General features: G+C 51.7%; 1 protein-coding gene across 8 annotated transcripts in view, besides 5 other annotated features; it reads left to right on the plus strand.

Moving 5' to 3' along the window:
• CPLX2 (complexin 2) overlaps window positions 1-25,141 on the plus strand; it is an 87,489-nt gene extending 62,348 nt beyond the window's left edge. For 3 of the 8 annotated variants that reach the window (XM_047416650.1, NM_006650.4, XM_005265799.2), the window contains 3 exons: window positions 19,772-19,890; window positions 20,028-20,203; window positions 20,968-25,141. In XM_047416650.1, the coding sequence (XP_047272606.1) occupies window positions 19,860-19,890; window positions 20,028-20,203; window positions 20,968-21,165 (405 nt within the window). In that variant the 5' untranslated portion in view covers window positions 19,772-19,859 and the 3' untranslated portion in view covers window positions 21,166-25,141. Of the gene's footprint in view, window positions 1-2,796; window positions 2,884-4,127; window positions 4,265-12,697; window positions 13,320-13,886; window positions 14,141-19,771; window positions 19,891-20,027; window positions 20,204-20,967 lie in introns of those variants that run through there. The other 5 variants (XM_047416651.1, XM_005265798.2, XM_011534419.2 and 2 more) reach the window with 5 other exon arrangements.
• Window positions 2,453-2,954: an enhancer, noted in NCBI's record as "NANOG hESC enhancer chr5:175288336-175288837 (GRCh37/hg19 assembly coordinates)". NCBI's record gives its function as "activates a minimal SCP1, AML or CMV promoter by ChIP-STARR-seq in naive H9 embryonic stem cells {active_cell/tissue: H9 hESC(naive)}" and the evidence as "EXISTENCE:reporter gene assay evidence [ECO:0000049][PMID:30033119]".
• Window positions 13,115-13,838: an enhancer, noted in NCBI's record as "H3K4me1 hESC enhancer chr5:175298998-175299721 (GRCh37/hg19 assembly coordinates)". NCBI's record gives its function as "activates a minimal SCP1, AML or CMV promoter by ChIP-STARR-seq in naive H9 embryonic stem cells {active_cell/tissue: H9 hESC(naive)}" and the evidence as "EXISTENCE:reporter gene assay evidence [ECO:0000049][PMID:30033119]".
• Window positions 13,839-14,561: an enhancer, noted in NCBI's record as "H3K4me1 hESC enhancer chr5:175299722-175300444 (GRCh37/hg19 assembly coordinates)". NCBI's record gives its function as "activates a minimal SCP1, AML or CMV promoter by ChIP-STARR-seq in naive H9 embryonic stem cells {active_cell/tissue: H9 hESC(naive)}" and the evidence as "EXISTENCE:reporter gene assay evidence [ECO:0000049][PMID:30033119]".
• Window positions 20,034-20,764: an enhancer, noted in NCBI's record as "H3K4me1 hESC enhancer chr5:175305917-175306647 (GRCh37/hg19 assembly coordinates)". NCBI's record gives its function as "activates a minimal SCP1, AML or CMV promoter by ChIP-STARR-seq in naive H9 embryonic stem cells {active_cell/tissue: H9 hESC(naive)}" and the evidence as "EXISTENCE:reporter gene assay evidence [ECO:0000049][PMID:30033119]".
• Window positions 20,765-21,495: an enhancer, noted in NCBI's record as "H3K4me1 hESC enhancer chr5:175306648-175307378 (GRCh37/hg19 assembly coordinates)". NCBI's record gives its function as "activates a minimal SCP1, AML or CMV promoter by ChIP-STARR-seq in naive H9 embryonic stem cells {active_cell/tissue: H9 hESC(naive)}" and the evidence as "EXISTENCE:reporter gene assay evidence [ECO:0000049][PMID:30033119]".
• Window positions 25,142-26,125: the final 984 nt, after the last annotated feature.

The raw sequence follows: 26,125 nt of genomic DNA on the forward strand, positions 1-26,125 counted from the left end.
GCAGCAGTGGAAGGGAAAGGGCAGAACCGGAGAAAGAAACAAGATAGTCCGAAGGATCACTTTCCAGCATGGAAACCTTGGTGACACACAGCTCCCTCTTGCTACCAGAGAAGCCACGTGATCTGATGGCATCACAAGACGATGGAGCCTCCATGAGCCTCACCAACCTAGCATACAGGGTCCCTCCTCCAACTACAGCCTGGCATGGTCTGACCATCACAGTGGGAACCAAAACAAAACTAAGCAAAAACAACAACAAGCTAAGGAGACACATCTGAGAGGCTATTGCAAAGAAAAAAGCATCTTTGGGAAAACATTTAAAACTTGATGACTTGGAATCAGGAGGCGTAGCCAGGGCAGAGAGGCCTTGAAATTATGCAGTCCAAACACACTCTGAAAGTCACCTTGGGAAGGCCTGTGGGACCAAGAATAAGAGGCCTTTCAAATGCATCAAATGGAAAGAGGCCAGATAAAGAACTGGCAAGATGCTTGATGATCATAGCTCTGAGATGAAAAAGAGATATCGAGAAGATCTGAGGAAGCCACAGCCCCAGTCCCAACTGAGGAGGACCCCAGGGAAATCCCTGCTCCCAAATGGTCTCTTGGAAGTAAGGGCACCAAAGGCACTGCTCTTGCAGGCAAATGTTCCAACTCCAGTTGACAAACTAGATGCAGACAAATTGCCAGGAACAGATGGCACCTGCCCAAGAATGCCGACGCCACTCAAAGGTGAAATTGCAGAGCTGTTGGCCAAAAGTATGTGCATCTTTGAGGGGGTGTGGAGATATGAACTGTGGATATGATGTTTGGACTTTGGCAAATCTTTAAGCAAGCACCACCATTGTGAATTCCCTCTCTTTCAGTCAACGTGACCATGGGGACCAGCTTGTAGTAGGTCAAGATGCAGCTTAGAGACAAAGGAAGATCAGCTTCTTCTTTGAATGTGAGAATATTAAATGGTGGGGCTTCCCAGGATTTGGACCTGCCTGATAAGAAGTTTTCTGAAGGAGGGGACACACAGCTCCAAAGTTACAGATTCCAGCAGGTCCCTTCCAGGTGGCCGAGACAGAAACCTAATTCAGAGCAACTGAAGTAAAAAGGCAGCATTTATTGGCTCACATAACTGAAAAGTGCATGAGCAGAGCCGGGACCTGGGCCCTCACACACTGTCATCAGGAATTTGTCTCCTGCCCTTCGCTCAGCTGTGTGCTTCTCTGCATTGGCATCACCCTCGGGCAGGCCCTCCCCAGGTGGTGGCAAACCAGTCACCAGCTGCTCAGTCCCACATTCTGCCAGCCCTGCTAATCCCATACATACAGCCTCCTTTTGGTCAGGCACTGTGGCTCATGCCTGTAATCCCAGCACATTGGGAGGTCAAGGCAGGAGGATCACTTGAGCCCAGGAGTTCAAGACCAGCCTGTAGCCCCAGCTACTGCAGATGCTGAAGCAGAGGATCTCTTGAGCCCAGGAGGTTTTAGGCGGCAGTGAGCCATGATTGTGCCATTGCTCTCCAGTTCTGTCTCAAAAAAAATAAAGAAAGGAAGGAAGGAAGGAAGAAAGAGAAAGAAAGAGAGAGAAAGAAAGAGAGAGAGAGAAAGAAGAAAGAAAGAAAGAAAGAAAAGAAAGAAAGAAAGAAAAAGAAAGAAAGAAAGAAAGAAAGATAGATAGAAAGAAAGAAAGAAAAAGAAGGGAGGGAGGGAGGGAGGGAAGGAAGGAAGGAAGGAAGGAAGGAAGGAAGGAAGGAAGGAAGGAAGGAAGGAAGGGTCTCTTTCCTGTTGGTTCCAGCTAAAGTCCCAGGGCTGACTCTCATTGGCTTAGCTTGTGTCACTTGCCATCCTAGAGCCAATCACCATGGCCAGGTGGCTATCCAGCACTCTAATTAGCTGGCTATGGATCTAATGCCCACCCATGGCAGTAGGACATAGAGTCAACCCCACCCAAACCACAAAGACTGAGGGTGGAAGAAGACAGGAACTCCAGGCAACACTAGACAGGTCAAAAATGTATTATGACCACAGCAAATTACACCAGAAACATCCCAATGACATAATGCCATAGTGATAGGGTGAGAGCATGGAAGGATCTCATGGGGTTATGTGTGTGGGTGAGAAATACAAAAAAAAAAAAAAAGCTTCAGAAGAGGCAAGTGCAAGATTTAAACAAGGATGCCAGAGCTATTATTATGCTCTGTGATCCAGAAAGTGGCCTCAGTCTGCAAATCCTGCCCCTGAGATGGGGACCTCAAAGGCCATGGGCCAAGACAAGTTATTTCAACCCCAAGTAGGTGGGGCAATGCCAGGCATGTATTCTACCTCTGGAAATATTTGTTGACCATCCACAATCAAAAAAGCCTTGGGCTTGATGTTGGGGATTCAGGGATGAGCAAGGCATGCACTTGCTCTCAAGCAGCTTAGGATCCAGCAGCAGGAGACAACCAAACATAGGGTAAAAAGGGCGCCCCAGAGGTGTGGAGGGCTCTGCAGCAGGGAGCACTATGTGGGAGAAGAGTTGAGGTAAACAGGTTGACAAAGGAAGCAGAAGTCAGATCAAGAGGGGCCCTAGTAGGTTTGGACCCGATGCTGCAGGTAATGGTGAGTCACTGAAGGCCTTTGAGCACAGGAGTGACCCAAGCAGGGTGACGCTTCACCGCCTTAATAGAGCCAGACAAAGGCCCAGTGGAGAGTCACAGAGAGGATCAAAGGGCTGGCAATAGGCCTAGAAGGGAGACGGCAGAGGGAAGGCTAGAAAGCTGGAGGCGGGGAGAGCCTTGATCAAAGTCAGGCAGGGGAGCACAGCGGCTTCCTGACGCTGGACCCAGGTGGGGACAGAGCGGCCCTGTGAAGTCAAAGAGAATGTTGCTTTGTTCAGCTCTCACTGGGAAAGGTGAGTGTTGCACAGATGCACCCCAATGTCATTTATATAACCATGACCCCCTCAAGAGGGGGTGTAGGCTGGAAACTGGGACTAACTCTCTAACAAAGAGGTTCTGGCAGAGTCCTGAGTAACAGTCATAAAGGAAAGCAGAGGGCCACCTGGGTGTCTGGGGACGTTCCTTAATCATTCATTAAACAGCCACTTCCTGAGGGCCTGTTTTGGGCCTGGCCCTTCTCTGGGCTCTGAGCCCAGAGACATGAAGCCAGCATGCCCCTGTCTTATTCTGTCATAGCCCAGCACCTGCTGAAAGCACCCTGCCCCTGGGTGTGTTTGCTCAAGCAGTGCCCACTTCTCCTACTAGAAGAGACAGAAATTTGTGTATTTTCTCACCATGTATCCCCAGCAACAAGATGAGTCCCTGGCATACAGTAGATGCTCAGTATGTGTTTGCTAAGTAAAGGACTCCCTCCTCTTCAGTGAGTCCCATCCTCCAAGAGCTCACAATCTAGTAGGGAAGTCAGCCAAGAAAGCAACCTTAAGTATAAAGCTTAGTGCTACAATGAAGGGGTCCACATGGGTGCATGGGTAGTTCCACATGGGTGGTTCCATCCTGTTTCCCAAATTAGATTTTTTTTAATGCTCTAGCTGTGCCATGATGGTCAAAGCAAAGGTTTGCCAAGTGCACAGAGCAGACAAAGGCATTCCACCCAGAGCAAACAGCACGGGCAAAAGTTCAGAAACATGGTTGAGGTTGTGGCATATCCAAGAACTGTAAATCATCTGGTGTTGATGGGGCACAAGTGGCTACTATGAGACTGCAGAAAGCAGTCAGAGTCTGATCACCAAGGGCCTTCAAGGCCAGTTTAAAGGGCTTGGACTTTATACTGAAGGCAATGGGAAGGCATTAAAGGATTTGTATTAGTTAGGCTCCTTTTGGATCCTTAAAGTGTCTTTAAACAAGAAACAAAGGGAAGAGACAAAAGTATAAGACCCAGAATGGAGTCTCTCTGGCCCTCTCTGCTCATGTGCCCTCAATTGATCTCTGGGGACTGGGGGACCAGATGTGCTGATCAGTCCAGCCCAGTTCATGTGATCTGCCACCCATGGGTCCAAATGAAATACACAGGTGGGCTCCTCCAAAGCTGATGCCACACGAGGAAGGAGTTGGCCAAAAAGCTGTGACTACGGCGTGTTTTAAGGAGAGGAGTGATGCAGTCAACTCTGTGTTTTAGAAAGCTCTGATTCTCCTACAGGTCTGGAAGCCAGTTAGAAAGTAAAGAAGAAGGTAAGAGCAGAGGCAGGAGAAGTGGTCCCAGGCTGGTGGTGAGAACAGGGCTGAGCCAAGCTGACTGGAAGTGCACAAAGGCCTACCCCAGAGGGAATTTCTTATGTAAGTCCTTAGGGCACAGCTCTGAGCCCTGACCTACAGCTCCGTCACTTTTGGTCACCTTGAGACCTAGAACACCCAGCCCCATCAAGGATCAGCCCATGGTGAGGTCGCCATATAGGGTGCCCTAGCAAGATCACCCAAACTCTGGGACTAGTTGCCTTGAAGCTGCAGACCCAGGGTCAGCTTCTAGAAACCCCCAATCTCCCTCAGGAAATGTGGCCACCTGGAGAGAGACACCAAGTTCAGATGCTGTTGCTGCTGCTTCTTGGCTGTGTTATCCTGAACAAGGGCTTAACCTCTCTGAGTCTGAATATCCCTCTCTGAATACAAAGTGGAGATAATGATATTTAAGGTAACGGAGGCGAGGGCCTGGGGATTAAATCAGATAAAGATTATGAATCACCTTCCCCCATGAGAGGCTCAGTCGATGAAAATCCCTTCCTCTTCTGCCCTTTAAGCTTTTCCCTGGCTTCATCTTCCCAAGACTTCCCCAATCCTTTTCTTGTTTGCCAAATAAAAGGGAGTTTTGTTTTATTTTGTTTTTTTGCCAGGAAGAAACAACTGGAGGTTGAGTGGCCCAGAGCAGCCATTTTTAAATTTGTGGGTGGAAAATTCCTCCTGTTCTTGGGCCTGAAGTCTAAGTCCCCTCTGGACTTTCCTCACACAGTTCCCATTTTGGAGGACACAAATATCCTAGGCCTTCATGTGCAGGAGAGGCAGGGAGGAAGCCAAGAAAAGGGGTAAAAAGAAGAAGAACCATCTCCCCCATTTTCCTCTAAGCTTTAAATTCTTTTCTTTCTCATTCCAACTTAAATACATGCAGGAAGATTATGAGGCAGAGTTCTTTGACCAAGAGGATCATAAAAGGAGGTTTTGTCTAGTGGTTAGTCTGCCCTGAACTCCAGAAGAGAATGCTATGCCTTGCCTGGGTGTTGGAGAGAAAGAGGGAATTAATACTTGCTGAGGCTATGCTGCTATTTCCTAAGCATTGTTTGATTAGAGCCACACAACCACCCTGGAAGGTAGAGATCACTCCCCCATTTCACCAATGGGACACAGTCTCAGGGAAAAGCCACACACCATGGGAAGGGGCAGAGAATTAGTGAGATTTAACTCCCTGTCTTTACGTGGCCAGTGCCCATGGCTGCCACCACCATGAAACCTCTGAGATGACTTGGATGGCCCCAGAGCTTTCATGCATCAGGAGCAGGGGGTACCAGCCACCCCTGCCCCTTCCCTGCTTTGAGCCTCCAATTCCATCTGGCTTGCAAGCTGTGTGTGTTTGATTCTCTTCCTCAGAGCTCCCTCTTCACTAAGACAGCACTTAACATGTTGTATGGTCATTGACTGTTTGCGGGCATCTGTCTCCCACTTGCTTCTGAGTGCTTCAAATCACAGAGTCTCGGATCTGAAAGGATCTGGAGAGTGTGAACTGGTCCGTGTGTTAGCTCTTAGTGAAGCATTTGCATCTCTCACTGTGGAACGAAGTGGGGGAAGAGAAACTCTGGAACTTCTTGTACACCTTTGCCTAGGAGAGCTCCTGGGGTGCTGTAGGCTCTCCATATATGTTAGATAAGAGAATGAGTGAGTGAAAAATGCTTGCTACATAGGGTTGTCATATGGCTTAAAGGGTTGACATCCGTAATGTCCCTAAAGCAATGCTTGGCACACTGGAGGTGTTTAGGACGTGTGGAGCTGGGCGCTGAGTTATACCTAAAAAAGAATACTTACCTAGAGTGAGAAGTTTCATTAACTTGTTATGTGACCTTGAGAAAGTCCTTTCCCCTTTCTCACCCTCTGTTTCCCCATCCGTAAACTGAGGACACTGGGTTAGATGACCAGAAATTTCTCTCTTCATCACTGATTTCTTTAATGCATGCCTCATTGCCTCCCTTCATCCAACCCTCCCCCAACCACATACTCACATGCACGCATGTGCGCGCGCGCACACACACACACACACTCGTCTATTAATCTCCAGTAGCATTCCTCTGCCCCTTGGCACTCTTTCTCTTTCTTTCATTTCCTCGACCAGAGGCCCCATAAGCTTATTAACCTCTGTTGTCCATGTTCAACCAATATCCTTGCTTTAACAAGACAGCAATAATGTCCTTTTGAATTCATTTTTATCAACAAGCAAGATCTGTTTTGTGGGCCAGAGTGTGCTGGTTCTAAATGGAAAGTAGAAGTCATTTCCAGCTCACTTACTCCATAAATGCAGGGGTTCTGCCGACTGCCTCTGCACCAAGATGGAAAGAACATCTATCTTCACAAATGTAGGCGACACCATAGAGGCAGTCGTTCAAGGGACAAGGGAAAAAGCTTTCCATTCCAAAAGGAACAGGAAGGCTGGAAACTAAAAATTCCTCCTAGAACGGGAACAAAATCACACTCCAGGGTCACTTCCAACTTCACAATTCTTGACACTGAGATTCATAGAATTTAAGATTCTAAAGTTGTGAGTGAATGTGTGTAATTGGTTGATCTGAAGCTTCCATGAATCCTAAAATATTCTATGGCTCCACGATCCAGTTTTTCTGTAAGATGAGGGTCCAGGATCTTATGATTCTCTGACTCTATTGACCCAGGGCAAGGGTTTTTCAACCAGTCGATGTGTCAGAAACACCTGCGGAGCTGGGCAAAAGATGCAAATTCCTGGGCTTCCGTGTCAGAGATTTTGGTTTGTGCCATGTGGGATGAAGCACAAGAATCTGCAATTTTTTAACAAGTCCCCCACTCCAGTGGTTCTGAGTAGGAGTGGGCTACTCTTTGACATATAGTGTTGTAGGGAGCCTATAATTCTGTGATTCTAAATGTGATTCTAAAATGGTCTTTTGCATGATTCTAGTATCCTGCAACTCTGTTATTCTATTTCCCTGTGGCTAAGGAGGATTCTAATGTGTAAAAATTGTCTTTCTGAGCATGCATGGGTTTCACTGGTGGAGAGGAAAAGGGACCAAGCGTCCTGAGGGTGGACAGACACTCAGGAGGGGGACCCTCTCGAGAGCATGGAAAGCAAACTTTGATGCTACACTGATTGTGCCTGGGCAAGTCCAGAGCTGGGACTCAGAAATGAGGATGCTTGGCTGGGGTCATTGGCTAGCTCTAGGGAGAGGCCATCAGAGAAGAGTTCTTAATGGACGGGTATATCCAAACACATCTCAAAGAGTTGAAAGGACTGAGGTTGGAGGAGAGGAGACAGAAGTCATAAATGAGAGTTGGAAAAAGAACCAGAGGCAAGAGAGGAAAGATTTACTACCAAAATATTCTTCCTTTGATAGGATGGGGGCAAGGAGACTGCAGACTGATTTGCAGACATGAAAATGCAAGGTTTCAGGAAAGCACAGGATGAGGGGAGCTAACCAAGTGGGGATATACAGGGCTACAGTGTGGGCTGGGAGACGACTGCTTTGACATGCTAATGAGTGCCTGAATCTGGGAGGGTGGGACGGGATGAAGGCTGGCAGAGGACCTCTGAGGAGCTGCTGGGCAGATGCTGGGCTGGGAGAGAGGCTCTGAGTTAGGGGCAGGGCTTTGGGATAGGGAGGGGCTCCCCCAGGGAATTTCCACATGGACTCCATGCACGACCAATGAGTCAGAGTTCATATGTTGAGCCTGGTACCCTCTTTCTGAGAAAAGTGAAGAATGAACCCAGGTATCATGGCTCCTGCCTGCAATCCCAGAGCTTTGGGAGGCTAAGACAGGATTGCTTGAGGCCAGGAGTTCAAGACTAGCCTGGGCAACATAGTGAGAACTTGTCTCCACAGAAAATAAAAAAAATAAAAATCAGCAGGCTTGGTGGTGCACCCCTGTAGTCCCAGCTACTCAAGAGGCTGAGGTGGATCACTTGAGCTCAGGACTTCAGGGCTGCAGTGAGCTATGATTGTACCACTGCACTCCAGCCTGGGCAACAGAGCAAGACCCTGTATCTAAAAAAATAAAATAAGAATGAAAGGTGCTGGGGCTTTTGCAGCTTCCCAGGTGGGATAGAAGCCAGCAAGTTGGATTAATCAGGGTGCCTCTAGTGGGGGCAGAATAGACAAGGAGGGGTCAGTCACTATCTGTGACACATTTTGCCTGCATACCTGCCCAGTGGTAATGACACACTCCTGGCTGCACACACACACCCTTACTGCCCTACACAATAGCAGTGACACATGTTCCAGCCCATTGTGGCACACTCATATCTGCAGCCTTACCACTGATGGTTACACAGGACTACACCATTTCATACTGATGGTAACACCCTATCACCTGGGGCATTACTGGCTGACAGCAACACTCAGACATACACCAATATACAGAAATGGTGACACGTCCCCAGAGCCTTTGTGTCTGGCACAGTCTATGTAAATGGTGCCCTCTGTGGTTGTGCAGTACACAACCTGCACAGCTCTATGTGGTACTCTTGCCTTACAGCCAAATGCCCAGACAATGCCATTGACTTATTCTACTCTAATAACACCCCACGTAGGTCTATACCATCACACACCAACAACACGCTGACATAGGAGTCACATCCCATCAGGAGGGAAACACCACCACACACCGAGAGTCAGAGACGCACGCCTGCCCTGCCACACGCTGATGATGACACACAGCGCCTGTGTCACTGCACATGAGTGCTGCCACTCTCCCACCTGCACAGTCCCACACTGCTGGGCACTCAAATACACCATTGCACACTTATGGGTTTGCCCTCACACCATGCCATTCCATGTTAAAGGAGGTACACTGGGACCCTCACAGTGATGGCACCCGGCCATTGTCAGTGACAAGAGGGAAGGCACTCATCAGATGAGCAAGGTGGCCTAGAGCCCTTCTCTGTGTACCACCCCCGCAGTTCTGTTTCCTCGGGCACACGGCCAACCTCCCAAACCAAGACCAACTCTGCCCCTCCAGGCTTAGGCTAGAATGACAGGATGTGAAGCCAGTGTCTGGAGCATTTGAATGTCTCCCTGCACCCACCAACGTAACTCCCAGCAAGCTCAGGACCAGCCAGCGAGCTCCAGATCAGAGCTGGTGCCTGGCATTTCCTAGACACCCCCTCACCTCCCACATGGCATCCAGGATGCCCTCTGGGCTGAGGCAATTGCAGGGAAGAAATGGGCTGACCTTTGGACAGGCACCTTACGCAAGCTCTCTCACTGATCACCACGTTTATGGTCTGTGACAGTTGTCATTCCTCACACATTGTTCCTCGATCCTCACACAAAGTACTAACATTAGCTCTCTTGATTGGCTTCCTACTGAACATTCAAGGCATATACATAACATCTTACAAATCTGTTCAAATCTGAACCCCTCCTCCTGCCCCCAGGGCTCATAAATAAAAGTGGAAATTCAGCTCCAGTCAGGATAAGTCACCTGAAGCAGAGCCACATCTATATTTTACCAGGTGACTCTTAGAAGCTGTCTACAGAGCAGGCTCGGCAAGAACCTGCGGCTGGGCCTGTTTGCACTCCCGCTGGATTAGAGATGCAGGAGATGAAGGAAATGCTGGCAACCCACATGACATGAGGACCCCGATCTGGGTGTGAATTCGTGGCAGGTTTTTTTTTTTTTCTTTTAGTGAGAAACTGGAGAACAGGGAAGACTATAAATGCCAATGTAAAAAAAAATCTGCAGAGCAAAAGTTACATTTCCATAGGCTGTGGGATGTGTCAGGAGAGAAGCAGCCCCACGTGCTGGAAGGACCACAGAACTCAGTGTCAGGCAAGCCTGGTCTGGAACCCTGGCTCTGCCAAAGATTCATTTTATCTCCCTGGGCCTCAACTTTCCCATCTTGAACATAAGTGCTTGTGTAAATTAAATGAGAAAATGTAAATTATATAAAGCACCAAAGTTAACACCTGAGACATAATGAAAGCTCAAATATTCACTATTAGTAGTAGTATTTTAATCATTAGGAAAGACTTATGATATTCAGCAACTTTTTCAATAATAGTAGGGCCTTCGGGAAGCATGTCAAGGCTGGTAACACTGAATAGGGAGCAGGTACTCATCTCTTCGTCACCTTTAATGGCTAAAGTGTCATGATTTACCCCTTATTGTGCAACAAAATGAAGTCACCAAAACTTGGCTGAGCTGCCTTCCTATTCGCCAGTGAGATTTTCTGCAGTGAGACACAGTTCATGTCAGCTTAGGCAGTTTTTTATAGACTCAAAGATGCTTGGGTTCAAAGGGGGCTTTAGCCATCAGCTGGACCAGCCTCCCACACACCTGCCATCTTCCAGAGATAGAGAACCCATAACCCCACACAGGGCAGTCTATCCTATGGCTGGACAGCTCCTATGGAGAGCCAGTTCTTCCTCTCAGAGCTTCTGCCTGCTTCCTTTACCTTTCCCCCATTGCCCTAATTCTATCGCCAGCAATAGAAAAAGCAATAGTACTACTCTTCCGCTACAACAGTTATTCATCCATTCAAGCACTTCCTTAGCATCTACTTTGCCAGGCACGTTACTAAGCGGGGGAATTATAAATTAAGCAGGAATTGCCAGCCCTTAAAGGGTTAATGCCCCCTCCGTGTTCTTTCTTCCAGGTGAAAGATCCTCAAATCCTTCAACCTGCCCTCATTTGACCTGATTTCCAGGTGCCCACCACCAAACTAGCCCCTTCTCGAGCTTGACATACTCACGTTTGTCAAAGTCCATCTTAAAGTGTGGTGTCCATAACTGAGCTCAGTATTTTCCTTAAGCCTCAACTAGATTTGTAGCCCAGCTCAGTTGATGTCCATGTCAAAAGCAATACCAGTTGTGGAAAAACTCCAATTGTAACCAGAGTGCTGCCAGCCAGGTCCCATTTACTGAGAATATTCTTGAAGCACATGAAGAAAGAGGGGACGGGGAGGACTGTGCACTTGAAATGACATGATGTCAGATCTCCCTGCCCAGAATTCCCCTCAGGCATTAGTGGAAAGTCTAAGTCACTCTAATCAAAGAGCCTCCCTGCCACTGCCATCCCCCTCTTAGTATCTGCCCTAGGAAAGGGAAGAAAAATAAAGAATAAGCATTCTATGCTGATGGCCCAACACAGTGCTAAACATGGAACTCAGCCCTAAAGGAGGGGCCTTCCTTACACAAGCCTGTAAGGGGAGAACAGACATAGACTTCAGAAGGTGATTCTCCAGGTGACGAGGATGGGTTCACCAATGGCCTCTGACTGGTGGGGGGGTCTCCTGCTTTAAGGCCTCTGCTGTGATCGTGTGTGAAGGGATAAGTTCTCCCTCACTGGAACAAAATCACATTTCTGCAGCTCTTGTTGCCCCTTCCTTGGAAGGAAGCCATCCCCTTAGAAGGAGAAGCCATCTCCACTCTGACATACCTTGATGGATGTGAAACTCCTGCAGATCTTTCACAGGCCTTGTGCAAGGCCCCTCCTCTCCGAAGCCATTTTCCTACACATCGGGCTGGAGTAATTGGGAGCCGAAAGATGGCAGGCAGAATAAAAAGGCTCATTAGGTGAGAGTAATAAAACAAAACAAAACAAAACAAAAATGAGTGCAAGGGGAAGAGGAAAGGCTGGGGGTGGGAGCAGATGTTGTCCTGCCTCTTGGAAGTCCTTTTACTTTCTTGGGCATAGGAGGAAAAGAAATGGCCTTCTAGAATAAATTTTGCCAGAGGAGTCCTTATTCTTCACAGGATATCAGATCTCAAAGGGATTGGCGAGTGGCTTGCCTAAGGTCCACTGCAGTTTTGCATCAGTCTTCTCTTTCTGGGTGCGCAGTGGAGGTTCCTGACCCACTGCGAGGGTCTTGCCCACACGCTCCATCAGTGTTTCCTGAGTGCTCCTGTGGCTGGACACTGTGCTGGGGGGCTGCAAAGATGACCTGGCCAAGGTCCAGTCCTGGAGCTGCTCACAGGCAAGAGGCAAACCAACAGGTGGAACGGGGGTCGCTGAGGCAAGGGCTTGTCTGGGAGTGGCAGGAGCCGCAAGAAGTGCAACCACTCTGCCTGGAGAAACCAAGGAGGGCTTTCCCAAGGAGGTGAACTTTGAGCTTTGCTTTAAAGAACCCTTCCTCCACCCCTTGCCCCCACCACTCCTCAGGAGCAGCAAGCTTGTGGGCCTGGAGCTGTGGCCAGGATGTCTGGTTGCAGGGAGGCGGCAGGGGCGTCTGCGAGGGGGAGGAGAACAGTGTAAGGTGGAGGAGAGAGGGGAGGGGAGCGAGAAAAGAGGGGGAGGAATGGAGGGAGAAGGAGACGGGAGGGAGGGAGAGAGGGAGAGAAGGAGGGGACGAGGGGGGAGGGAGGGAGAGAAAGAGAGAGAGGAGAGAGAGAGAGAGAGAGAGACAGAGAGAGAGAGAGAGAGAGAGAGAGAGAGAGAGAGAGAGAGAGAGAGAGAGATTTGAATTTCCCATCTGGAAGGGGAGCGGTAGAACGTCAGGGCCCGGCTGAGGGGCGTGATTGGAGGGCGCCTTCGGCAGCCGCCCGCGGCAGAAGCCGCGGCTCCAGCTCGCCTGGCGGAATTGCACGCGGCGGCGGGAGCTGGAATAGCAGAAGGAACCACCTCGTGGAGTCGGGCCGGAGCCCTGCAGTGGCTCAGACGGTTGCAGGGACCGCCAGGTCGGTGCTGGCCGAGGGCCGGGAGGGCGGAGCTGGGCTGTGGGCAACAGGGTCCCGGCTCTCGCCTCGAGGCCTTGGGGCAGCTCGGGAAGCTGGGGAGCACGGCTTTCGGGGGGACAGCTCCCCAAGGCTGCCTGGGCACCGGATGGGGACTGAGAGGCGGTAAAGGGGACACTCCCGGGTGCGCTCTCCGTGGTGCTGAAAGGACAGCTCCTTGCGAGGGGCCGCGAGCAGGCAGCTAGCTGCGAACTAAGAGGAAGCGTGGGCCCTAGCCGGAGACTCCGGGCAGAGCCCGAACGGCCGGGGTCCCGGAGCCAGGACCGCCCCGGCTGCGGCGGAGACTCAAGTCTGAACCCAGAGAACAACTTTGAGCTCGCGGGAGTGGGGGACGTCGATCTAAGCTACTTCTGGCTGTGCTTAACCCGAAGCCCGCCGGAGCACGCTTCGCCCCGGAGGAGGGAGTCGCCCCCAGGGGTACAGTGCGCACTCCCGGAGTGAGTCAGAGGGCGGCGGCAGGGGGGCGGACAGACCGCAGGTGGAGGGGAGGAGAACGTAGACATTGACAGGGGATGGGGGACCAAGGGGACTATTTGTCCCTTTCCGGGAGGAGCCGCCGCTTGGACAGCGCACGCCCGCCGCCTGGAGTCTTCGGGAACGACCCCTTCTGTGCTCTCGTTCTCGTCGGCCTCAATCTGCCCCCTTCCCCAGCAAAGTTTGAAACCGGGCCGGGTCTTGGGGTTGGAGCTATGTGTGTTGGGGGAAGGGGCGCTCTCCGTGGCCCACCGGGAGATCCAGGACAGAGCTGCTGGGGGTGTGGGTCTCCGCGGGGGTCCGGGAGAGGGGCGCCGGGGTTCCTGTCCTCTCTTCTGGCCGGGAAACGGGAACCCCCGGCCACTTCCGCTTTTCAGCCGGAGTCGGCTCCCTACCTCCTCCCATCCTCCGCTGCCCCTCCCCTCCCCCATGCGTCTCCCATCCCGGGCCACGGGGTGGGGACGGGGCGGGGGGAGGGGGTGGAGTGACATCCCCTGTCTCTGCCACTGCCTTTGGCGTAGTCCCCTGCCAGAAGCAAATGAGTGTTGAATTGAGTTGCGGTGAATATAGCCCAGACTTGAATCATAAAAACAGAAAAACGGCCATAAGGACAACCACTGCAGGTTACCCGAGTCAGCCTGTCAGATGGCGGGGCCCAGTCCCGAAAACCTCTAGGGGCTCAGATGGTCGAGCCTGAGTCGGTGCTTGGGCTGGGACGGGCTCGGAGGGAGTCGGAGAGGGGAAGGAAGCTGAAGGCGCGCCCTGGGTCCCCGGCGCACTGAAGGTACGGAAACCTGGTGCTACGACGGCATCCCTCGCCGCCCCCGGCCTCCCCTCCCCCAGCGCAGCATCCCCCACCCACCCCCACTCCCACCCACCCCCACCCTCACCCCCCTTCCCGCGCAGGGATAGACCAAGGCTTCCCGCAGAATCGCTAAGGAGCGCCTCCTGGCGGCCTGGCCCAAATCCTCAACTGCCGGCAACCTGCTGGACCTCAGCACTCCCGCAGGCATATGGCAAAACATACACACACACACACCCTGCACACACGCACGCACTCACACGATGTCTAAGTCCAGAGTTGCACACACGGGGTCATACTTTCAACGCACACACCCTCATGCACTCGTTGACACGTTAAATTCAACCCGGCACACACGTCCTCAGGATCTACCATGTACCAGGACATGTAGCCAATTCTGGGGACAGGAGAAATGAAACAAGATACTGGTCCTGTCCTGAGAGGAGCTCAGAGTAACCAGGAAGGGCAAGACAAAGAAAGACAAACAGACAAAGAGAGCATGTACTGGAGGCAGGCAATACTGCCCCCAGAAAGTGCCACAGGTCTCCAAAGGGGAAGATGCCCTCACATCTTGCCAAGGAGATCCGTGAAATTGCATGGAGGGAGTGCTGTTTGAGAGAGATCTTCAGAAATCAATGCTGCTGATGATGATAATGATGACTGCGATGATGTTAGATAATATGTACCTACTTTGTGCCAACACTGGGCTGAGCACTTTATTTGCATCACCTCATTCAATGCTCACTACAAGCCTTGGGAATAGGTGTTGTTGTCTCCATTTCATAGATGAGAAAACATTGAGTCATTTGCTCAAGGTTACTTAGTAAGTGATGGAGCCAGGATTTGAACTGGCAGAGATGAGGGTAAGAGGTTCCAAGGCTGTGGGAATAGCATGCACAAATGCCCAGGCATTCTCAGAAAGATTATCTGTTGGGAAATAATACGTGCTAAGCAGAGCCCTGTGCAAGAGGTGGCACACGAGCAGCAAGGAAGACGGGTGCTAGACTGTGCAGGCCTTGAAGGTCAGCACAAGGACTCGTATCAGTTTAACAAGGCCATGGGGAGCCATTGCAGGGTGTGTATGCATGAGAAAATCTGCCCTTTAGGAAGATTAATTGGATGGCCACGTGGAGGCTGGATGAGAGCTGAGGGAGAGACAGTTAGAGGTTATGGATAAATCCAGAATCTCTAGGTCCTGAACCAAGGCATTAGCAGCAGTCACAGAGTGGAGGGTGGGGATGTAGGCAGCATTGCAAAGCTACAGCGTCTGGACTTCTCCCTGGAATTCTCCCTCGGCACCCCCATCCCAATCTTAACTCACCAATTCCTTGCATGATCTGTTATCCAGCTTCTACCTCCCCAGCCCAACTGAATGCTGTGAGACCACTGCTGGGACTCCCTTGTTCCCTGCCACAGCCCCAGCACCCAGAACAGTGTCTGGCAGAAAGTAGGTACTCAAGGAATATTTGTAGTATGAGCAACTGAGTGAATGAATGAATGAATAATGAGGAATTTGCTGTCTCTAGAGTTTTCAGTTGAGGTGATTGGGACAAGGCATACTAGAGAAAAAGATGGGTGTGTGGGGAAAGCCAGGATGAGACTGATCTTTGGACAGACAGAATTTGAGATTATCCATGTGACAACATCCAGCAGAGAGTTAAATGTGCAGGTGTAGGGGAGGGGAGGCAGAGAGAGGGAGGTATCTGTGGCTAAAGAAGTGCACTAAACCAATAGGGGTGGACGAGATTCCCAAGGGAGACAGAGGGGCAGGAGAGGCAGGAGGGGAGAGTTTGTTTGGAGACCATCTTCACTTTAAAGGAAAGGAAAGGAGTCAGCAAAGAAGAGAGAGAAGACCTATCTGAGAAGTAGGATGAAGACCACAAGAGTGCTGTGTCATGGAATTCAGGAGGAGATTCCAGAAAGCTGGAAAAGGTGGGGGGAGGGAGTCAGCAGCAGCATGTGATTCAGCAGAGGGATGGAGGAGGATGACGGCCGTGAAGACCCTCTTGAATCTGGCAATGGGAAAGCCTCTGGCGACTGATTACCGCAGTTTCAGGGCTCCTGCAGAGGCAGCAGAGCTCTGGTCTCACAGAGAGGTAGGGCTTGACTGGGAGGTGAAGATGTGGAGATACCATGTGGAGATCACTTCATCACAAAGTGAGAGGGGTGGGATTAAGGGAAACGCAGAATTTAGGGAAGGAGTTAGAGAAGGGAGGGAATAAAAGCAACATATGGAGAGGGATGGAAGATGTGAGGAAGAGGGAGTGGTGAGGTACAAAGAGAGGGAATCCAGGGCACAGGTAGATGAATTGGCTTCAGCCAGGAGAGGGCTTCTTCCTCAGGAGCTAGAAGGAGGGGAGGTTACAGGAGCTCCCACTCACTGACATTAATTGTTTTGATTATTACAACCATTTACTGAGCACCCAGCATGTGCAAACACATCCCATAGAGTATTTCTAAAATTTCAAAGTGCCATTATAATTCTCATTTTATAGAGAAGATCAAGTATCAATGAGGTTAGGTCAATTACTCACTATTGCACAGCTTAAAAAGTGGCAGATTCAAGATCTGAGTCAGGCATGCCTAACCTCAGAGCTCAGACCCCTTATACTTTCGCCCGTGAAGTGGAGGGAAAGTCACCTGCTGAGAAGGAAGAGGCAGTAGCATTTTGGGCCTTAAGAAAAGGAGAATTGGTTGGGAGAGTGTAGACAGAGTGAACAGGAGACTGCTTAACAGCTCAGAGGTCCATGCTGGGATCAGGCAGCAGGATTTTTGGGCAGACTCGGGAATTTCAGATAAAGAATCCCAGCAGGCTGAAGAAGAGCTACTTAGAGCCACAGGGATGTAAGCATTGAGAAGACTCAGTGGTGAGTAGAGGTACTTTGCAAACTGGTGGAGGGGTGGCAGTGGTAAACAATGTCTGATGAATGCATGCTGGCAAGCAGAGGTGGCCGGAGAAGGTGATAGTTTGGTGATACAGAAATGGCATGTTAAGTTTGAGGGGTGCCCACAGACATCCAGGAAAGGGTATCCAGGAGAAGGTAAATGTGTTTTTTTACTTATTTATTGCTTATTTTCCTACGCATGTGTGCATATACCCCCACACTCACATACACACATACATACCTCAGAATGTAATCTGCATGAAGGCAAGGCTTTGTCTGTCCTGTTTCCTATAAATCCCCAGTGCCTAACACATTGACTGGCATATAGTAGGTGCTCAATTAATACTTGCTGGATGAGTGAATATAGAGGTCTAGGTGTCATCAGTGTCAGTGGTCATTAAAACCCCTAGAATGGATGAGTTCTCCCAGGGAAAGATTAGAAAGTAAAAAGAGGCAGGGGCTGAGGTCAGAGTTATGGGGAAGAGACAGGAGGAAGAAGAGGAGTCAGAAAAGGCAAAGGAAGAGAAGAAAAGAGGAGAGGAGAGGAAACAGTAAGGGGAAGCAGGGATAGGAAAGAACTGAGTCACAGAACCAAGAGAGAAGGAGGTTTGAGGGTACAGTGGGGTTGTCAGCAGTTCAAATGCTGCAGACTGCTTCAACAGAGGCATGGGAGAAAGGGCCTGGAAGATCATCTGATCCAGGAGAGAGACGTGTCAGAATCACCCAGCAAGTTAGGGATGAGGCTGCAACTAAAGCCCGGGTGCCCTGCCTACCAATTTGGAACATCTCAAATTAGAGCCCTGCATCTCCCACTGCCACCTGGTAATTCCTTGAGCTCTATGTAAACACAGAGTAGGAACCCAAGAGTTTCTGAAATCACTTGATTATTAAATTGTTCATTTCCTGTTCTTAGAAATGAAGTTTTTTCACAATGTATTAAATCGAACGAAAACATCTTGACTGAGCTGAGCAACCTGCAAACTCAGAATTCGGGGTTAGGAGGGTGGGTTCTCTTGCATTTCTGAGAAAGCATGGAAAGCCTGTTCCTTTTTGGCTTGTTCCACAAATATGTAGTCGGCAACGGCTGACATTTTATGAGTTCCTGCAACACCCCAGGCACTTGACCGGTATCATTCATTCTCCTTCAAACGTCCATTCAAGGGCAACCTTAATACTCCCCCATTTTGCAGGGAGCAAACTGAAGCTTGCCCAGGGACCCCCAGCCAGTAAGTATAGCTGCCTGGATTTTGAACCAGGTGTGTCTGATGCCAAAGCCCCTGGGCTGTTTTGTGTTTTGCTTTTTTTTTTTTTTTTTCCTACACATCATGACTTTCTCTTCCCAAAACAACCTATCAGATGAGATGGTCTGATCACGTAGATAAGCTCTTGGGCCCCATATCATGAAATAATCTCAGTCTACCGATATGACTTCTCATCTTGAGAGAAATGAAGAAAATCTATCAAAGAACAACCAGTGACCCTGAACTCAGCCAGGCTGCAATATCCAGCCTTGAACCCAACAAGGTTGCAACATCTGCCACCCTTTCCCAGGAACCCTTTTTCTTCCTTGCAAGGCTGTGTGGGACAAAAGGCCTTGGGGAGCAGGCCTGGCCTCAGCTTACCATGAAGCTACTTCACACTTTGGATAGCTCACGGATGTCCCCTCTACACTTGAAAAGAGATCTGTGTCTGTTAAAGAACAGTGGAACTGAATGGTTAAAATACAAAGAAAATCTCAAGTTAGAGCACTAGGGTTCAGCTTCTCAGGGATGTAGGGGGAAGATGGTAAGGAGGCCAAGGGGGAAGGCTCTTCCTCCCCCACCACCTCCACTGGAAGAGTTCCACTTTTACATATTTTGCATATTGAGAATCCCATTAAGATTTTATTTGGAGAACCCTTCTGAGGCAAAAACATAATAAAAAATATAATAAAAACTGAAAGCCGGTGATTTAGGAAGAGGAGTAGGGTGCTAATGTCTGCCGAGTGCCTGCAAGGCCCGTGCTAGGTAGTTTAAAAGCCCTAAGCCCCCAGAAGATTATAATGTCTCCAACACTCCCACGTGAAATTCAAAATAAAAATCGATATTAAGCTATAAAACATAAAAATTACACGTACATTACAATAAAAATAACGTATTTTCCATTTGTCTAATTTCAAAAGTCAGGATCTGTTTATCCAAGCTGGCTGTTCTCATTTGCTCAGCTGCCTCCGATTGGCTGGGGCAGTAACACCGGCTGGTCTTTTGATGGGCTGATCCAGTGGCCCAGGCTGGGCCCCCTCCAATCTCCGCCGGAGCCGGGGAAAGGTGGCATTGCCATTTCTCTCTTAGAGAGGAGGAAACTGGGGACTCGAGCAGGTTAGGGCCTTGCTGAAGGTCCCATGGCAAATAAGGAAATGACGGTGGCGTTGGAAACCAGATCTGCCTGACTCCAAGTTCCAGGCTCTTTCCAATGCTCCTGGCTTCAATCAAATCTGAACAATAGGGTCAAGATGAAGGCTTTAAAATAGGGACCAAACCGCTTTCAAAAAGCTATTTGGCAGCACCTACGTGTCTGCCCAGTAAATCGCTCTCTTCCATCTCCTTTCTCCTCCAGCAGGGCATTGGGTCTTGACCTCAGAGCGATGGGTGCCTGGTGTCTGAACCAGGGTGAGGCTGCTGTCTGCCTAGCTCCCCCGCCCTGCCTGTGCAGAGGCCTCTCCCATCTGACTCCCAATTCTCTTCTGCAGGTTGTCACATCTTCCCAAGCCAGGCCAGCCAGGAGCGCTGCATGCAAATTCTGCCGTGGGCTAAGGCACGCTAACCAGAGCCGGCGGCATGGACTTCGTCATGAAGCAGGCCCTTGGAGGTGAGGTCCAGCGCCCCTCCGCGTGTCCTCAGCCGGTCCCACCCTTGTGGGAGGTGGCCTCGGCCCACCCGGCCCCTCTCTCCCCAGCCCTGACCCCTAGCTGACCCCGCCCTCTCCTTCCCACCCCTTCCTCGTAGGGGCCACAAAGGACATGGGGAAGATGCTGGGGGGAGAGGAGGAGAAGGACCCCGACGCGCAGAAAAAGGAGGAGGAGCGGCAGGAGGCGCTGCGGCAGCAGGAGGAGGAGCGTAAGGCCAAGCACGCGCGCATGGAGGCGGAGCGGGAGAAGGTCCGGCAGCAGATCCGAGATAAGGTCAGCTCCGCCCGCCCGCCCGTCCTGGGGAGGGCCACAAGCGGGTAAAACCGGTCCAGCTAAAGCCCCTGCTGGGGCTCCCCTGGATCCCAGCTCTCACCTTCGCCCTAGTTCTGAGCCTCACTCTTCTCATCAGCAAAACGGGTATCACAAGGTCACCTCCCTCAAGGGATCCTTTTGGGGATTAAATAAGAGAATGCGCGTAGTAGGTACTCCAAGAGGGTGGACCCTACGGTCCACCATTTCGTACTGCAGATCTTTGGGACCAAAAATGAGTGCAGTTCTGAATTTGGGAATGTTCGAAAAATACCACAGTGTCCTAAGCACTTTGTGCTGTCAGCTGTCACTCCCAGCGGGTCTGGGGCTGCCACCCTACTCCAGACAGTCCAGTGCATGTCTGTTAGTGCGTGCAATAAATAAAGGCTAGAAGTAGTCTTCCATTGGTTCAAGTCAGATTCGTCACCAAAATTTGGCTCAAAATATATGGGCAAACGCCATGTGTTCAGATCTTTGGGGGTTTCAACACAGCAGGAAGTTCTGATGGGCAGGTGTTAATTTTAAAGGAAACCCCACGTATGGTCTCTCCCACTGAGGACCAGGCACCATCCTACAGGGAAGACACCCTTATCCCCACTTTACTAATGACAGGACTGAGGCTTGGGAGGCACTCCTGGCCACCTCAGCCAGTGCTGCATGATCATGAGACTCCTGCTGTCTCCTTGCCCACCCCGCTTCATGCGCGTCTCTGCCCTCCCCCTCCCCAGTATGGGCTGAAGAAGAAGGAGGAGAAGGAAGCAGAGGAGAAAGCAGCCCTGGAGCAGCCCTGCGAGGGGAGCCTGACCCGGCCCAAGAAGGCCATCCCTGCGGGCTGCGGGGACGAGGAGGAGGAGGAAGAGGAGAGCATCCTGGACACGGTGCTCAAATACCTGCCCGGGCCGCTGCAGGACATGTTCAAGAAGTAACCAGGCCTCCTGCCCCAGCCTACTCCACCTGTTACTACTTCTTTTTGGTTCTTTCTTTTCTTTTTATTAGGTTAAGTCTCAATTCTGAAGGGGAAAACCTCAGTTGGCCTCTGCCCCTCTTCCCTGGCCAGGGGCTTCTCCCCCTCAGCTCTCCCTCACACCTCCCTTCATCCCAGGGTATCCACCTGCACCCCACTCCCAAGTAGCTTGAAAAAGGGAGGACAGTCTTTCCCCAGCAGGGGTCAGGGGGGCCCCTCAGGAAGCCTAAGGTCGTGCTAGTGTGGTGACCCCCATACATTCCTCCCTGCTCCCCACTGCCAGGAGGACCACTGTCCCCAGCCAGCCAAAGTAATGACACATTCCAGCCCTGCCCAGCATGCTGACCTTTGGCCTCTAACCCTCAGTGGGCCCCCAGGTCAGGGCAGGGGCACTGAGTGGCCTGGCTCTGAGGAAGGGAGTCAGGGGAAGCCTGTCCCGGGAAGGCCCAGGCTGAGAGGCCCTGGCTCTGGCCAGGCTGGGATCTGGGTGGGAGGCTGGGGCTCTTCTTCTTCCATCTCCTTGGTGACACCCAGCCCAGGGGCACCCCCTTCCCCAGCCCCCACCTGGAGAGACATGGCCCCTGCCAAGCTGGTCCCTTCAAATGGATCCTTTGTGGACTTTAGCTCATTTGTGGAGGAACCCCAGGTAGGGACGCCCCTTGTTCCTCACCCCCACCCCACTTAGGTCCTGGGCCCCCACTGCCAGGCTGGGCCCAGCTTGCTCAGTCAAGGGGCTGCCAGGCCCCCAGAAAACACTTGGAGCCATCGGGTAGCGATGGTCTATGCCATGGGGAACACCTCCATTGGTGTGGCCAAGCTGCCCCCATTCCTATCCACCCCTCTCCCCACCCCGTCCTGTCCATGCGCTTCCAGGGCCCCACGGTCCCCAGGAGGACGCTTCCTGGCCAAAGCCCCAAGCCTTTGGTGAGAAGCCAATTCCCACTTGACAGAAGGCGTCCATCCATTCATCTCATTGGCCAAGGACAAACTCTCCTCTGGGACGTCTGGGACTGGCATTTGTCCCCCACTCAAATTATCAAAGCTTTCTGCTCAGTCAGTTGTGTGGGGATGGTGAGGGAAGAGGGGTCACATGAGGGAGGAAACTGTATCCATGCATGCATGATAATGCGTGGCAGAGACTGCAACAGGGATTGTGTGTTCAGAGATCATATGCATATGTGTAGGGCTGGAGCGTGTGTGTGTCTTGAGATTGTGTGTGTTGCAGTCATCATATCTATGTGTTACAGATTGTGTATGTTAGCCTTGTGTATGTGTGCTTGATTGAGGTGGTGTATTTGGGTTGAAATTGTGTCATATGTGTGTGCTATCCATCTCGTGTTTAGAGGCTGTATATGTTAGCTTGTGTAAGAATGTGTTTTCAAAACAGTGTGTGTATTGGGAGTGATGGGTATGTGTTAGGTATGTGATGGGTTGTAGAAGCGTGTGTTTGAGAGAATTCAGAGACATTTGAAGGCTGCTGTGTGCATGTTTGGGGGTCTGAAAAGACAGTTGTGTGCATGGATGTGTGCGTGGGGAGAAAGAACGTGGGTAAGATGTCCCTTCCCAGCCCTGAGACCACTGGTCACAGTTGGCCACCTCCAACGGGAGACCTTGTCCTTGGCCTAGAGTCCTCCCACCCTTGGGGGGCTCCTGCCTGAGGTCCTCAGAATCCCACTGCAATGGACCCAGGCAGCGCCCCAGGAAGCCATGCTGGGCCCCCGCCAGGGCCTATCCCAAAAGCAGGGGCCAGGGAGGGGGCGACTTGCCTGCCCCTGAAGCCCTTGTTCCCATTGGCCCCAGTTTGCATTCTGCAGGTTTTCCATTTTAGTGGGTTCTGCTTTTATTTCAGAGACAGACATGTGTCTTCTCTGTCCGTTTCCAATAGGTAAAGCCATATCAGTTAGACTGCAATACTTTAAACACGAGACAAAACAATCCATATGTTTAGGGAACCAGAAAAGTCCCCTGGTCTGTCCCTTCTTTGGGGAGCAGGGCCTCGACAGCTCCAGCTCCCTTGACCTACCTTCCTCCCCGCACCCCGCCCCCACCTTGTGCCCCTGTGTCCAGCCCCCCAGGGGGCCTGTGTCTGTGTCTGTGCCTGTGTCTGTGATGGGGAGCCGCCTCGCACCCCTGTTGTCTGCTTGTCTCTTTGTGTCTGTTATCCTGGGCAGGATGGTCATTCTCAAAAACCCTGGGGTCCTGGGCCAGAGACAGGCAGGGCCCAGTCCAGGGGCCCCAGGCCTCCCCAGTCCCAGTGTGCGAGCCCCACTTGGACACAAGTGTTCAGAGAGGTCCCCCTCTGCCACTTGACAGGGACCTTCAAACCTCGACAGTGATGCAAGGACACAGAGAGTACCAGATAGGTAGCAGAGACCAAGGCGCAGGGTGCTTCAGATGAGCAAGAGAACCCAGTCGAACCAGATACCCCAGGTGGGCCGGAGGGACCCCAGACCTTCAGAGGGCTGCCCTGGTGTTCTCCACAGTGCAGTCCCTCTGTATTCCCAGAGTGGGATCGGGGCTTTCAGCCCCACCCTGATGCCTGCCCTCCAGGATGGCTGGTTTAGTCTGGGTCCATGTCCCAGACCCCTCTATTCTGCTCCAGGACAGCAGGACTTCAGGTCTTCCTGGGGGTGGATATAGGAGAAAATTTCTGCCTGGCACACACCTGGCTCCAACCACTGCCAAGTGATCACTCTTAGGCCCAGGGGAACACAATGACTATCATTACTGATGCAGACCTGGCTGTGGAGAGCAGCTAATGTGTGGCCCAGAGAGCCTGTCTGTGTGGAGCACGTAGTGCACAGAATACGTGAGAGTTGCTCTGGCAGGGGCAGAATCCTCACAGGATCGCCTGGGAGGTGAGGTGTGTGTGACCCACTGGATGGGAGGGCAATGAGTGTGCACATACAAATGGGGCAGTGTGCATGCAACACACTTAGGGGAGGAGTGGCCCCAGAATTCAGCACGCACACAACACACAAGGGAGAGAACCCCCAGATGAGAAAATAGGAAGGAGCAATCATTTGTAGATGGGTGAAAAAAGAATGAGGTTCAAGGGAGCGTGCACCAGGTGAGGTGAGCGTGTGTGCTCTCAGGGAAGGGCCCAGGATCCCATGCCTGGGAGGAGCTGCCAGAGAGAAGCAAAAAGGCGGCTGTGGATCGCCCTGGGCTGGGCACCAGTGACAGGTCAGGATCTCCAAACATGGACGTCCTCCCCTCCAAATCCAGAAGCTCCCAGAAGGTGTCCTTAACTGCAAAGCTGTGCAGGGTACTCCTCCAGATGGAATCAGGAAGTCGAGACACCATCCCAGGTGTGTGTAAGAGAGAGAGAGAGAACAGGGAGGATACAGAAGTATTGCAGCCCAGATCCCCTATCAGGGGGACAGCTGGTGGGCAAAGCAGCCACCCCACAGCCTTGTGGCTAGAGTACAGTGGGGTAGACCCTCCAGCCCCAATAGCCCTAGTACCCAGCTGGCAGGGTTGCCCACCCCTGCTGTCCACCTGCTCCATCCTCTAGGGTTCCACAGGCCCCTGACCGCACAGGGAGGCTGGGGCCAGCCTGGTCTCCCAGGCCTGAGGACATGCCTCCCACCAAATGTCCCCTGCTCCAGTCCCACTCCTGTCACCCCACGCTCTGCACTGGGGAGAAAACGGGAGGTGCTCGTGCTGGCCCTGGGTGGGAGCGGGGAGTCCTGGTGAGACCCCGGTGAGATGGACCATCCTGCCCCCGTGGGGGATCCCCTTTCCCACATCCGTGCTGTGTCATTGTTGCTCTGCTTCCTTTCAATGTGTCAGTGCCTGGGGGGAGGGGAGGAGCACCCCCTCAGCCCCCCTGAACCTGACCAAAAGCCATGGCTGTTGCTCCCCCCTTTGTATGATGCAAATGCTGAAATGTACAAAATCAACCATGACAACAAAGAAAAAGACCTTGTACAGCAGCTCTCTGTCTGTGCTCTTCTGTCCATCGGCACCACCAGAGACAAACAGGGGCACCAACTCACCAGGGAGGAGGCAACCCACAAAGCTCGAGGCCCCAGAAAATCTTCAATTTTACCCTGGCTTCTGGCCAGGACACCATGGAGATGACTCCAGAAATCAACCGCAGCCAGAGTTGGGACTGGGCTTGGGGTTCCAGGATCACTCTGCTTCCCTGCCTTCCAGAATCAATTCTTCAGCCCCAGGGGCTGAGTGTTCCCCATGGACCACCCCCCCACCCCCCGCACACACACACCATCTCTGACACCCCTTCCCCCGAGCCCCTCTGGGTGCCGCTTCCTGAGAATGCTGTCAAGTCGCACGGTGGGCAGCAACCTGTCCTCATTCATTCCCCAGACACTGAGGGAGACCTACTCCCCACGGGCCACGTGCAGAAGCCTGGGGTCCCAAAGAAAGGACACCACTCAGCATTCCTCCCAGACACAGGCACTTCCCAGGCCTTGGTGAGGAGTCAGAACTGTTCCGGAACCCCCTCCACCCTTACCCTCACCCTAATACCCTGCCTTAGTTAGGTCCCAATCCTCTCAGCTTGGCTGGGCCCTTCCCATGGCCACGCAATGGTCTCCCAGCCCCCACCCCTCTCCTTCCATGCACCCTCTTCTGCCACCCTGCGCCTGCCTCCAAGGCGCATCCAAAATGCAGACTTCACCATGTCACTCCCTGCCCAGAGCCCTCTAAAGGCCTACAGGAAGGCGCCTGCCTATAGGATAACATCCAGATTGTCCAAATGGCCCTGTGTGATGTGGCCTCAACCTACTGATCAGACCCACACCCACCTCTGTGCTCCAAGTGCCCCAGTCCCCATCTATACCATCTTCTTGGTGTTTGCATATTCTGTCCCCGGTGCCTGAGATGAATGGTGCCCTTACTCTCCTTGGTGCTCTAAGGAGCTTGGAGCTCCCTCAAGCTCCAGCTCAAACATCACT

This window comes from Homo sapiens, chromosome 5 (genome assembly GCF_000001405.40).
Source record: "Homo sapiens chromosome 5, GRCh38.p14 Primary Assembly".
Classification (NCBI taxonomy): Eukaryota; Metazoa; Chordata; class Mammalia; order Primates; family Hominidae; genus Homo; species Homo sapiens.